The sequence below is a fragment of the Homo sapiens genome, chromosome 22 (genome assembly GCF_000001405.40).
Source record: "Homo sapiens chromosome 22, GRCh38.p14 Primary Assembly".
Taxonomy (NCBI): Eukaryota; Metazoa; Chordata; class Mammalia; order Primates; family Hominidae; genus Homo; species Homo sapiens.
In genome coordinates this window covers 20,651,519-20,665,964 of record NC_000022.11, presented here as the reverse complement: position 1 = coordinate 20,665,964, position 14,446 = coordinate 20,651,519, and the positions used below count along the sequence as shown (strand labels likewise).

Sequence of the window (14,446 nt, the reverse complement as noted above, 5' to 3'; positions counted from 1 at the left end):
CCCAGGAATGCACCATTGATTTAATATTTGAAAATCATTGCATGCAAACACCATATTAACAGAATAAAAGACAAAAATATATAAGCATCTCAGACAGAAAGCATTTGAGAAAATATCACACATTCTAATAATAAAAACACTCCAGGCTGGGAGCGGTGGCTCACAACTGTAATCCCAGCACTTTGGGAGGCTGAGGCGGGCGCAATCACGAGGTCAAGAGACTGAGACCATCCTAGCCAACATGGTGAAACCCCGTCTCTACTAAAAATACAAAAACTCAGCCAGACATGGTGGCAGGCGCCTGTAATCCCAGCTACTTGGGAGGCTGAGGCAGGAGAATCGCTTGAACCTGGGAGGCGGAGGTTGCAGTGAGCCAAGACCTCGCCATTGTACCACTCCAGCCTGGGCAAAAAGAGTGAAACTCTGTCTCCAAAAAAAAAAAAAAACAACAAAAAAAAAACAAAACACTCCAAATTTACGAACAATAAGGTAACTTCCTGAAACTAGTGGTAGTTACCTATGAAACTTACAGCTATCATTATACTCAGCAATGAGAGGGTGAATGACTAATCAGTTACAAGAATGTCCACTCTTGCAAATTCTATTCAACATTATATTGTAGATTGTAGCGAGGTGTAGTAAAGAACGGAAAATTTAAAACATCCTTATTGAAAAGAAAATAATTTTTTTATATTTACACATGGCACGATCTCATATATAATTCTAAGAAATTCAGTAAAATACTATTAGAAATAAATTTGACGTAGTTTCAAGATATAAATGCAATACTAAAAATTTAATTTTATTTCTATATACTATCAATAAACTGCTTTAAAATGGTATTAAGGAAACAAACCCATGTATAATACCAACAAAACAAGTAATAAATTTAGAAATTAACAAGAGCAGTGCAAAATTCATACTTTGAAACCTGCAAAATATTGTTGAAATAAGTTGAAGAACAATTAAATAAATGAGAAGTGGTGGAGCGAGATGGCAGAATAGAACTCTACAAGATTGTCTCCCTGCAGGAACATCAAATTGAACCACCAACAATCTAAGCAAGAGAATACCTTCACAAGAGCCAAAGAAATCAGGTGACAGATCACAGAACCTGGTTTTAGCTTAAAAACAAGAAAAGACACATTAAACAGGGTGGAAAAGACAGTCTTGCAGTGCCTATACCATCCCTCCCTCAACCCCAGGCAGTGCAGAGAGACAATGTGTCCACTTCCAGGAGGGAGAAGAGAGTGTGCATTAAACTTTGCCTTGGAGCCCAGTACCAGCTCTGCTACAGTAAAACACAGCACTGGGCAGAACCCCATGGTCCTTGATTCCAGGCCGGTGCCCACAGACAGAGCATTTAGACATGACCTGGGCTAGAAGGGAATCCACTGCCCGGTGGGACAAACCTGAGTCCTGACTTCCTTCACCACCAGCTGTTTAAAGTGGCCTCAGGCTCTGAATAAATTTCAGTGGCAGGCAGGCCATAGCCACTGTGGTCCTTGGGTGAGCCCCAGCAACCAATGATGTGCTGGTCTGGGAGGCTGTGGGTTTCATATATGACATCCGCTACAGTGGCCACAGGGCTGCCTGTGTTACCCTAATCCCAACTCCAGGCAGTGCAGTGCCGGGAGAACTCCTTTCCTATGCAGGAAAGAGGAGAACCCAGTCCAGGCTCCACCACGGTGGACACAGCATCAGGCAGAACACAGTGGCCCTGATCCCAGGCAGGAGCTCCCAGACACCTCTAGACCTGCCTGGAGGTAGAAGAGAACCTGCTGCCCTGGCGGGATGGACCTAAACCCTGGCCAGCTTCACCACCAGCAGAGTAGCTCGGCCTCAAGACCTACATAAGTCAGCAGCAGTCAGGCAGTAGTGGCCACAGGACTCAGACAAGCCCCAGTGCTGCTCTGGTCCTAGAGGCTGTGGGCTTCGGGTATGTGGTGCCAGCTGCAGTGGCCATGGGAGTGCCCAAGCCACCCTTCTCCCAGATCCACAAAGCTTAGTACCCAGACTCCTTCCAATGGGAAGAAGAGGGAAGTGAATGAAGCACTTTGCCTGGGAACCCAGGGAACCCCTCCCTTATCTTCTCCAAGTCCATCAGGGCCCTCTGGGACCTCAGTCCTGCAAGAGTCACAGTGAACCTGAGCTTAGGGCACCCTGGTGCTGAAACAGCTTCAGTGACCCCAGCCTTAGGGAACTCAATAGTCAGTACCCTTGGAATTTCTGGAAGACCATCTAGAGGAGGACAGGTACAAACAAGACCAGACTACAAAGACTGGAATAAATACTGACTTATTCAATTCCCAGGCATGAACATAGGCCCAAATGCATTAAGAACATTCAGGGAAGTATGACCTCACCAAACAATAAACAAGTCACCAGTGACTAACCTAGGAGAGATAAAGATGTTAAACTATTCAGAGAGGGAGGTAAAAAATAGCTGTTTTGAGGAAAATCAATGCAATTTTAAAAATATAAGTAATTCGGAAATGTATCAAAGAAATTTAACAAAGAGATTGAAATAATTTTAAAAGACCACAAAAACCTCAAAGCTGAAAAATATAATGGATGCACTGAAAAATGCATGAGAGGGCCTCAACAGCAGAACTGATCCAACAGAGAAAGAATCAGTGAGCTCACACAGGCCATTTGAAATACACAATAGGAGAAAAAAGAAAAGAAAAAAAAGAATGAAGGCAGCTTAGGAAATCTATGGGATAGTATCAGAAGAGCAAATTTAAGAGTCATTGGTCTTCAAGAGAAAGCAGAGAAAGAGTAGAAAGCTTATTCAAAAAGATGGTAACAGAAAGCTTTCCAATTCAAGAGAAATATATAAATATCCAGGTACATGAAGACCAAAGATCATCAAGCAGATTCAAGCCAAATAAGACTACGCCAAAGTGGCCAGGTGCGGTGGCTCAGGCCTGTAATCCCAAGTACTTTGGGAGGCCGAGGCAGGTGAATCACTTGAGGTCAGGAGTTCGAGACCACCCTGGCCAACATGGTGCAACCCCATCTCTACTAAAAATACAAAAATTAGCCAAGTATGGTCGTGGGTGCCTATAATCCTAGCTACTTGGGAGGCTGAGCAAGAGGATTGCTTGAACCCAGGAGGCAGAGGTTGCAGTGAGCCAAGACTGTGCCACTGTACTCCAGCCTGGGCAACAAGAGCGAGACTCCATCTCAAGGAAAAAAAAAAAAAAACTATGCCAAGGCATATAATAATCCAACTCCAAATGTCAAGGACAAAGAGGATACTATAAACAGCAAGAGAAGTGAATCAAACAACATATTGAGGACCTTTGATATGTCAGGAAGCAGAGTTCTCAGCAAAAATTAAACAGGCTGAGGGCCTCCCTCCTATGGGAGAAGTGGGATGACATATTCAAAGTGCTTAAGAAAAACAATACCAATGAAAAAAACCACACCCAAAGAATAGATCCTTCAAAAATGAAGAAGAGATAAATACTTTTCCCAGACAAAAGCTGAGGAAATGCATCACTACCAAACCTGGTTTACAAGAAATGCTAAAGGGAGTTGTTCAGTCTGAAAGAAAATGATGCTAACATGTAACAAGAAACCATCTGAAGGTATAAATCTCATTACTAAAAGTACACAGATAAATTTAGAATACTATAGTTGTGATGTATAAGCAACCTATATCTTTCATGTGAAGGCTAAAATACAAAATTGTTAAAATAATAATATAACCCAACAATTTTTAAAGGGATAGGCAATATAGAAACATACTGAGCCTGTAATCCCAGCACTTTGGGAGGCCAAGGCGGGCGGATCACAAGGTCAGGAGATCGAGACCATCCTGGCTAACATGGTGAAACCCCATCTCTACTAAAAATACAAAAAATTAGCCAGGCGCGTTGGCTGGCGCCTGTAGTCCCAGCTACTCGGGAGGCTGAGAATGGTGTGAACCTGGGAGGCGGAGCGTGCGGTGAGCCAAGATAGCGCCACTGCACTCCGGCCTGGGCCAAAGAGCGAGACTCCGTCTCAAAAAAAAAAAAAAAAAAAAAAAAAAATACTGAAAGACATCTAAATACAAAATGTGTGTGTGTTGCGGGGGATAGAGTTACAGGGTAAATGTTTTTAGTTTTTTTTGTTTCTCTCTTTTTTGTTCTTTGCAATCAAGGTTAAGTTTTCTTCAGTTTAAAATAACTCGTTATAATTATGTTGTTTAGCCTCATGCTGACCAGAAAACAAAAATCAGTAATAGACACCCTAAAAATAAAAAAGCAAGAAATTAAAACACACTACCAGAGAAAATGACCTCACTACAAATAAAGACAGGAAGGAAGGGAAAGAGGAAGGAAAAGAAAGGAAGAAAGGAGAGAGAGAGGAGAGAAGAGAAAGGAAAGGAGAAAACAAAAAAAGAGAGTAGCAAAACAACTAGAAAACAAGTAAAAAATGGCAACAGTATGTTTTTACCTGTTAGTAATAATCTTGAATATAAATGAATTAAATTCTCCAATTAAGACAAAGTGGCTGAGTGGATTTAAAGACAAGACCCAACTATATACTGACTAAGACACTCACTTCACCTATAAAGACATACATAGACTGAAAATGAAAGGATGATAAAAGATATCCCATACAAATGGAAACAAAAAAGCAGGAGTAGCTACACTTATATCTGATAAAATAGACTTTAAGTCAAAAAAAGAAAAACTAGAAAGATAATTATATAAGGGTAAAGAAGTCAACACAGCAGTATAAAAGTAGAAAGATCTCAAATACCCAACCTGACAATACACCAAGTAATGAGAAAAACAAGAAAAATCAAATTAGTAGAAATAAAATAATAAAGATTAGAAAAAAATTAAAAATTGAAACTAAAAAAAATACAAAAAGTCAAACGGAACCAAAAGCTGGGGTTTTTTTGTTTTTGGAAAAAAGTCAAAATTGACAAGCTTTAACTAGACTAAGAAAAACTGAAAATGATAGACGAAAAAGGAGACATTACAGTTGATCACACAGAAATACAAAGTATTCTAAGAGATTACTAAAAACACTTATATACAAATTGAAAAATGTAGGAGAAATGAATAAATTTCTGGACATATAACAAATTCCCAAGATAGAATGATAAAGAAATAAAAAACCTGAAGAGACGAATAATGAGTAATGCAATTAAAGCAGTAATAAAAAGTCTCCTGTCAATTGAAGAAAAACACACGAATCATGGTTTTATTGCTGAATTCTGCCAAACATTTTTAAAACAACGAATACCGATTTTACTCAAAATATTCCCCAAAATATGAAGAGGAATACTTTCAAACTTGTTCTATAAGGCGAGCATTACCCTGGTACAAAAACTAGACCAGGACACAACACAAAAAGAAAACCACAGACAAATATCCCTGATGAACACAGATGCAAAAAAATCCTCAACAAAATACTTGAAAATTGCATTTGACAATACAATAAAAAGATAATCTGCCATGATCAAGCAAGATTCATCTGAGGAAAATGAGGATGATTCAATAAACAAATAAATGTGATACATCATATTCAGCAAATCAACAACAAAAACCATGTAATCGTTTCAGTAGATGCTGAAAAAAATAAAATTCAACATTCTTTCATGATAAAAACTCAACAAAATGAATACAAAAGAAACATTACTTAGCACAATAAAGGCCATATATGACAAACCCACTGCTAACATCATAATCAATGGGGAAAATTTAAAAGCTCTTCCTCTAAAATCTGGAACAAACGTGGCTACTTTTACCACTTTTGTTCATTATAGTACTGGAAGTCCTCACTACAGCAATTAGGCAAGAGAATGCAATTAGACAAATGAATAAAAGGCATCCAAACTGGAAAAAAAGGAGTCAAATTTTCTCTGTCTTCAGGTAACATGATCATATAATAGAGAACCCTAAAGATTCCACTAAAAATTTTACTAGAAATAATAAATTTAGTATAATTGCAAGACACAATATCAATATACAAAAATGAGTAGCGCACCAATGAGCCAATAGTGAAACACCTAAGAAAAATCAGGAAAGCTATTTCATTAACAGTACTCACCAAAAAAAGATACCTAGGGATAAACTTAACCAAAAAGGCAAAAGATCCCACAATGAAAACTATAAAACACATTGATGAAAGATATTAAAGCAAATGCAAGTAAATAGAAAGCTATCCTATGTCCATGCACTAGAAAGAATATTGTTAAAATATCTGTGTCACCCAATATATGACTTACAGAGTCAGTGCAATCCATGTTAAATTACAAAAGATGTTCTTCATAGAAATACAAAAAAAAACCAGCCTAAAATTCACATGGAAATGCAAAATATCTTCAGATAAACAAAAGAATGTTGAATAAAAAGAAAAAAGCTGGAGGCATCACACTGATTTCAAAATATACTACAAATCTATAGTAACCAAAACAGCATGGTACTGGCAAGAAAAGGGGGGGGGGCGGGGAGAGACAGAGAGACAGACATAGACAAATGACAGACAGACACACATAGACAAATGAAACAGAATAGAGAACTGAGAAATAAATTCACACATTTACAGTCAACTCAATTTTAACAAAGGCACCAAGAACACACATTCAGGAAGGACAATCTCTTCAATAAACTGTGCTAGGAAAACCCAACACCCACAGGTAGAAGAATAAATCTAGACTGTTATCTTACCATGTAAGAAAATCAACTCAAAATAAAGATTTAAATATAGGATCTGAAACTATGAAACTACTAGAGAAAAAAACATAGGAAAAATACTTTAGGAAATTGGTTAGGACAAGGAATTTTCAAATAGACATCAAAAGCACAAGCAGAAAAAGCAAAAATAGACAAATGGAATTACATTAAACTTCAAAACTTCTGCAAAGCAGAGGATGCAATCCATAGAATGAAGAAATAATCCAGAGAATGGAAGTATTTGCAAACTATGCATCAGGCGAGGGGTTAATACACAAAATATATAAAGAAGACAAGAACTACTCAAAAACAAAAATGCAAATAATCTGATTTAAAAATCAGAAAAAGATCTACCCAAAAGCTTTCTCCCCCATCATTATTTCCCTGCCTTCTTTTCCTGACCGCCTTCGGACCCCTCCCTCTCGCCATCCTTTTTCTTCCTCCATCTACCCCAAAACTTCTTCCCCATCATTTTTTCCCCACCGTCTTTTCACAACACCTTCTCTACTCTCCCACTCACCACTCTTTTCCCCATCTACCCAAAAACTTCCCCACAGTTTTTACCCACCCTCTTTTTCCCCCTTCCGCTCTCATTAGCCTTTTGCTCCTCCATCATCCCAAAAACATTTCCCTCCATCTTTTCCCAAAGCCTTTTTCCTACTCCTGCTACTCACCACCCTCTTTGCCCCCTCCATCTACCCAAAAACTGTTTCCCCATCGTCTTTTTTCCCCTCCTTGCTACGCTCTTTTCCATCTATCCAAAAACGTTTCCCCACTGTCTTTTCATAAAGCCTTCTCCCCACTTCGGCTCGCCACCCTCTTCCCCCCTCCATCTACCCCCCAAATTTTTCCCCACTGTCTTTTCACAAAGCCCTTCCTCCTTCCCGCTCGCCCTCTTCTTTCCCCTAGCCTGCTTGCCACCCTCTTTTTGCCCTCCATCTACCCCAAAACTATTTTCCCCATCATCTTTTTCCCAATCCTCTTCCCTACCTCCCTCTCGCCACCCTCTCTTCTCCTCCCACTTGCCACTTTTTCCCCTCCATCTGCCCAAAAGCTTTTTACCCACGTTTTTTGTTTCTGCACCATCTTTCTTTTCTGTCTTCCTTCTTTTCGCAGAACCTTCTCTCCCTCCCTCTCACCACCCCTTTTCCTTCTCCCGCTTGTCACCCTCTTTTCCCCCTCCATCTACCCAAAAACATTTTCCTCCATGGTCTTTTTGGAAAACCTTGTCTCCCTCGCTCACCACTCTTGCCCCCTCCTACTCACCACCCTCTTTTCCCCCTCCATCTACCCAAAAACCTTTTTCTTGTCTTTCCCCCCTCACCATCTTTTCACAAAGCCTTCTCCCCGCTCCTGCTCAACAACCTCTTTTCCCCACTCCCGCCCCTCTCCCACACGCCACCCTCTTTTCACCCTCCATCTGCCCCCCAAAACTATTTTTCCGTCGTTTTCCCAACCCTCCTTCCCCCCTCCTGCTTGTCACCCTCTTTTCCCCCTCCATCTACCCAAAAACTTTTCCCCCACTCTTTTCCCCACCATCTTTTATGGCTCCTGCTTGCCACCCTCTTTTCCCCTTCTATCTACCCAAAAACTTTTCTCCCCACTCTCTTTTCGCAAAACTTCCTCTCCCTCTTGCTCGCCCCCGTGTTTTCCCCCCTTTACTACTCTCTCTGTACTCCTTCCACCTGCCACTCTCTTTTCTCCCTCCATTTACCCAAAAACTATTTTCTCCTTCTTAATGCTCAGGCGGGGCTGCAGTCTTCATTACAGCCACCAATCGCAGAGAGGCCAGCCGAGGTGCCAAGAGCTCCAGCCTCCAGCTTGGGACAGGGGTCTTCCCCTTCTCTTCCTCCTTTAAGCCGGGCACTGAGCAGCTCCTGCACTGTGGGCCACCCTCCTACTACTCCGGTGGCTCTTCAGTCTCCGTGGCAGCAACCACCAACCACAGCAGTGAGGTGAGCCGTGGTGCCTTAGGCCAGAGTGAGGGAGGTGTCTTTCCTTTCGCCTCTTCCTCCTCTAAGCCGGGCAAGAGCCGCTGAGGAGGCAAACACTAAAGAATCTGCAATGGCCTGACGTCCCCTCAGCATACTTTATATAGGGAAGTTACACCACTGGGTCCTGAACTACATGTTCTGATTGGATGGGAGAAAAACCTCTAGGCCTACTCTGATTGGACTTTATTATCATGTTCTGATTGGATGAGAGCAATTCTTAAGGCAACCAATCAGAACATGACAATAAAGTCCAATCAGAGTAGGCCTAGACGTTTTCTCTCATCCAATCAGAATATGTAGTCCAGGCACTCAGTTGCAAAACCTCCCTATATAAAGCCGGCTGAGGGGGCAAGGAATCAGGCCATTACCGGGCTCTCCTGTGTCTGCATACCCTGATGTTCGGTGCCCAGCTTAGAGAAGGAGAAGGGTAAGACGCCTGCTGGATGCGGTAGGCTTGAGCGTGTGGCAACGTGTTTCGCTTAGCTGAGGTTGGTGGTGGCCATGGAGACTGCAGCGGGGAGAGCGGTAGGAGGGCAGCCCACAGTGGGAGTATGGCCAGAGTGGTAGAAAAGGAAGCAGGGTAGGTGTGGTATCTGGGTCTGCACTGCTCTCCACGGGGGCACGTTGGGCATGCTATCCCAGGTTGCATTGCCTGGGCGGGTTCCGTACAGTATGCATGGTGCCTCCATTTATCCATCTTTACAAGGGGAACAGTACTAAGGTTTTCTTTTTCTTCTCAGTTGACTGAATTATTTCCCTAGTCTGTCTTCTTGCCACTCTTGATGCTCATATGAGAGGACCTAAGGTAATTCCTGACAACCTGGGACTCCTTAGGAAAAACAGAAGGTGCCATAGACTCCATTTTAGGAGAAACGTCTGTTTTCCTTATGGAACTTCAAGAAGTGTAAGCAGACAGGTCCCTCTCAAAATCTAAGGCTCTACTCTGTTTTGCCTTGCTTTATCTGACCTTTTTGATTTGGGTGGGCATCAGAAATTAGTAGGGGAGAGAGATCTAAAAAAAGTTGTGGAAACTGGGCATGGTGGCTCATGCCTGTAATTCCAGCACTTTGGGAGGCCGAGGCAGGCGGATCACCTGAGGTCAGGAGTTCGAGACCAGCCTGTCCAACATGGAGAAACCCCGTCTCTACTAAAAATAGAAAATTAGCCAGGTGTTGTGGCACATGCCTGTAATCCCAGCTACTTGGGAGGCTGCGGCAGGAGAATTGCTTGAACCCGGGAGGCAGAGGTTGTGGTGAGCACAGATCACACCATTGCACTCCAGCCTGGGCAACAAGAGCAAAACCCCATCTCCAAAAAAAAAAAAAAAAAAAAGAAGAAAAGAAAAAGTTGTGGATATGAAGATATATTTATGTAAGATAGGTTATGAAGGAAAGAAATTTTATGTGAGAGAGCATCTTGTATGGCAAATTCTTGTCCTAAAGTAGAATGACTAGGAAAGAGCAAAATATAGGACAAGTCAGAAAGTCATAAGATGGGAAAGAAAAACTTACAACTGCTAGATCTTCTCCTGTCTAGAAGTGTTGTGTGTGTGATGCTTATATGAAGGTACTCTAATTAATTGGATTAAGAGAAAATGAAACCTCTTAAATATGTTGTCAGAAGAATAGACACTCTCATGCCTTTTATTTCACATGACTTCAGTAATCTTTGGGAAATACAGTTTTAAAATTATTGGTAAAAAAGTCTTTAAAATTTAGACATTTGTTCTAAATTAAGTCAGAGGTTAAATTGGCTAAGTGCTTTAATGTCATAAACTGCTTCTTTGACTTTGGAAAATTATCTAGTTTACCTGGTTTGGAGCCATTCATTAGATTTCTAGGTGAGGCCTGGGAACAGGTGGAGTGAGCCATGTCTCCTAGCTATGCTGGAAAGAGACTTTATCTGCAGTTCTGTCTTGTATCCTAGACTCTGCACCTGGTAGGTAATTAAAACTGCTTACACTGAAAAGAAACAGTACGTGGTTTTGATTTTTAAAAGGCATGGGAATATGGTTTTTTTTTAATTGTTTTGTCTAATTTAGAAAATTTAAATGACCTCAAGGTCACCTCAGGCCTCATCCCTCTATCCCCCCTTGCGATACCAGATCCAGAAGAGGCATTTGCATGGCAGCCACCCAGAGCTTCCACCTCCAAAGCTGGCAAGGGCAGGATGGTAACTGGGAGGGAAAGGGGGCAGGTGCTGGTTCAAGGAGTCTAAATCGCAAGTGCTGAGCAAACAGAAGACATTCCTGCAACTTTACCTGCAGCGCACGAGGTGACCCAGCAGTTCAACAAACTGCTAAGGACCTGAAAATAGCACTTGAGCCTGGGCCACTTGCTGGGCCTGCAGCCACTCCAGGGTCAGGCCCTGAGTCCTGGCACTCTGGATGCACCCCACCGTGCTGGGGAGAGATGCTGGGCTGGGAGGGGCCTGGAGCCTTGCCTGGGGTATCACTTTTGCAAATTCATTTTGTTCAGCAGTGTAGGATGGCCGCTCAGGCCCAGGCCCTGGCCTGGGTTGGCATTAGTGCAGCTGTGCTGGAGCGGGTACAGAGCTTTGGGAGTTCTCTGTTTCTGGGCACGCTTTGGCTTGTACAGCTTGGCCGCCTTCTTGTTCTGGGTGATCCTGAGCTTGGTCTACTTGAAGGATTCCAGGTGCTTCCTCATAGACCTGTGGAAGATATCTCGGTCCTGCTTCTTGTCCTCAGCTGGTGTGGCTGTAGCGATGCATATACTCCTTCCCCAGCTTGCACAGGTATTGCTGCAGCATGTGGTGCATGACCGTGTCCTCCCCGTACCGAATGCTCTGCCATGCTGCTCCAGGGACTGAATGTCTAGACAGACGGTGCTGATGTTCTCCCTCAGGTGGTAGGAGACAGAGGCCACCATGGTGGACGATCGTGGTGTGAAGTCCACGTTTACCACGTTATCAGTACTTGGGGAGCCGATGAAGGCCAGGGATCTCAGGCACTCTCCTTTGGTCACTTAGCTGATGGCATCCTTCAGGTTCAGTGCATGGAAGACATTGAGGATCCCTTCTGGAGACTTCTGGGCCAGCCTTCTCATGAGGACTCCACTGAGGAAATTCCTGTCAAAGTGGGACCACATGTCTTTGAGATCATTGTGCCTGATATGCCTCGATATGTCCTTGATGGCCAAGAGGATGTGGTCGAGAGGGTGGCATTGCAGCTTCTCATGGAACTTAGGCTCCCAGTGCTCACTCCTCTTCACCTTCAGCCACTGCACCAGGGACTAGATGGTCAGACCCCAGAAGATGACCTTGAAGATGTTGACGGTGGTGCTGACAAACAGGTTCTTCTCCTTGACCTTGTTTCCATTCAGAAGTATGACCAGGATGAAAGCCATGGCCCCATGCAGGCCTCCACAGGACATGACCACCTGGCCTATGATTTCCAGCCACACCATCCAATAGCAGTCCAGGAGCCAGGAGTGGATGACACTGATGGCCTCAGTACCTGAAGATGAAGGCCAGTGCAGGCGGATGAATGCCTTGTTCCACGTCCAGATGAGCAGGTTCATGGCTAAGGTGCCCAGGGACATGAAGATGGGATTGGTGCCACTGGTCAGCATCTTCATGGTGTAGCACATGGTGGGGGCCAACTGCTCTGAGATGTTGGCCTTCATGTACTTATGGCAGCAGATGCCACAGAAGATGATGGCCAGGATGGCCTACAGCAACAGCTTCTCAGACATCAGAATGGACAGGTAGGAGATGACCAACATGAAACCAGGCTCGATGATGTGCACATGCTTGGTGAGGTGGGTCACCAGTGACAACAGAAAGGCAAAGACCATTCCCACCAGCATGCCCCCCAGGCTCACCACAAGGAAGGAGACTACACCTTCCACAGAGTTCATGCTGGTCACGTTGTCACCACCCAGTGTCACAAAAGATTGAAACACATTGTACAGAACCATGATGACAGAGTCATTCAGTAGCAACTCCCTGAAGATGATGATGAACAGGACCTCATTGCCATGAACCTCCTCAAACACAACCAGGACAGCTGCTGGGTCCACAGTGGTGATCAGGCTGCCGAACAGGAGGAAGTCCAGCAGCCCTATCTGCAGGTAGCCCATGAGCCTACTAAGAGAGACGTCATAGAGGGACAGGATGGTGGTGGATGCATTCCACATGGTGCTGATGACCTTGTACAGCAGGATGGTGCCCAGGTTGCCGAAGAAGAGCCAGTTGGGGATGAAGTAGCTGGCATCTAGCATGATGAGGGACATCATCATGAAGGATGTTATGTGTTTGGCCACCCAGATGATGCTGCCCAGCACCAGGCCCAGGATGATGAGCAGGGTGCTCTCAGGGACTATGCTGGTGACCTTGTGGGACAGGTAGAACCAGTCTTGGCCAGGCTGGCTGCAAGGATGCAGAGCACAATCATGTACAGGTCTTGGACATTGGCCCATTCAAAGGCGACCACCTGGGGACCCTGGTTCACATCTACACACTACTGTGCTCTTCCTTGACGCCCCCTCACCCATAGCAGCCACCCCAGCACCAGCACCAGTGCCATCAGCAGCCCCCGGCAGCAACATCAGCGCTGTGTCTCAGTGCCAGCCTGGGACACGCATGTTGTGGGGAGTCCTAGCTGTGCTCGACTGATGCACCCTGCTGAGGCTGCTGAACTCACAACCCACCAAGGAGCCCAGTGGGCTTTGGGGCTGTTGCTGATGGCAGTCCCCTTGTTTGGTTTTTTAATCACACATCACTTTTGTAAGTACACACAGATAAAATATCATTGAAGTAAGATATTCTTAAAACTTTTTTTTTAGTTCAAAGTTCATCTTCTGTATCACTTTTGACTTAAAATCATCAGTGCCCTCATTTTTCCACATTGTTTTCTGTTCTATCAAGAGAAAGGGACAGCAAACTACCACCCATGAACCAAATGTGGTCCTCCACTTGTTTTTGCAAATAAAGTTTTGTTGGGGCTGGGCGCGGAGGCTCATGCCTGTAATCCCAGCACTTTGGGAGGCTGAGGCCGGCAGATCACGAGGTCAGGAGATCAAGACCAGCCTAGCTAACACAGTGAAACCCCGTCTCTACCAAAAATATTTTAAAAATTAACCTGGTGCGGTGGTGGGCACCTGTAGTCTCAGCTACTTGGGAGGCTGAGGCAGGAGAATGGCATGAACCTAGGAGGCGGAGGTTGCAGTGAGCCGAGATCGCACCACTGCACTCTAGCCTGGGTGACAAAGCGAGACTCCGTCTCAAAAAAAAAAAAAAAAAAAAGTTTTGTTGGAGCATAGTTACAACCCTATGACTGCTTTCAGGCCCTGATGGCAGAGTTGAGTGGTTGCAGCTGAGCCTGTGTAGCTTACAAACCAAAAATATTCCCTATCACCCTTTGCATGAAACATTTGGTGGCCCCTAATCGAGAAGCACAGGAAGTGAGGCATTTCTTGCAAGTGTGTCCACTCATCCCGGGGATGTTTTGTTTTGTTTTTGAGATGGGATCTCATTGGTGCTCAGGCTGGAATGCAATGGCACAATCGTAGCTTTCTGCAGCCTGGAACTCCCAGGCTCAAACGATCCTCCCACCGCAGCCTCCTGAGTAGCTGGGACTACAGACACATACAACCATGTCCAGGTAATTTTTAAGTTTTTTCTTTTTTTTCTTTTTTTTTTTTTTTTTTGTAGAGATGGGGGTCTCACCATGTTGTCCAGGCTGGTCTCCAACTCCTGGGCTTCAGTAATCCTGAAGGCCTCCCAAAGCTGTGGAATTACAGTTGTGAGCCA

At 44.0% G+C, this 14,446-nt stretch overlaps 1 pseudogene, besides 2 other annotated features; it reads right to left on the bottom strand.

Annotated features, from left to right (window-relative positions):
- Positions 10,571–11,199: an enhancer, noted in NCBI's record as "H3K27ac-H3K4me1 hESC enhancer chr22:21009053-21009681 (GRCh37/hg19 assembly coordinates)". NCBI's record gives its function as "activates a minimal SCP1, AML or CMV promoter by ChIP-STARR-seq in primed H9 embryonic stem cells {active_cell/tissue: H9 hESC(primed)}" and the evidence as "EXISTENCE:reporter gene assay evidence [ECO:0000049][PMID:30033119]".
- Positions 11,200–11,830: an enhancer, noted in NCBI's record as "H3K27ac-H3K4me1 hESC enhancer chr22:21008422-21009052 (GRCh37/hg19 assembly coordinates)". NCBI's record gives its function as "activates a minimal SCP1, AML or CMV promoter by ChIP-STARR-seq in primed H9 embryonic stem cells {active_cell/tissue: H9 hESC(primed)}" and the evidence as "EXISTENCE:reporter gene assay evidence [ECO:0000049][PMID:30033119]".
- SLC9A3P2 (solute carrier family 9 member 3 pseudogene 2) lies at positions 11,238–13,321 on the bottom strand (annotated as a pseudogene).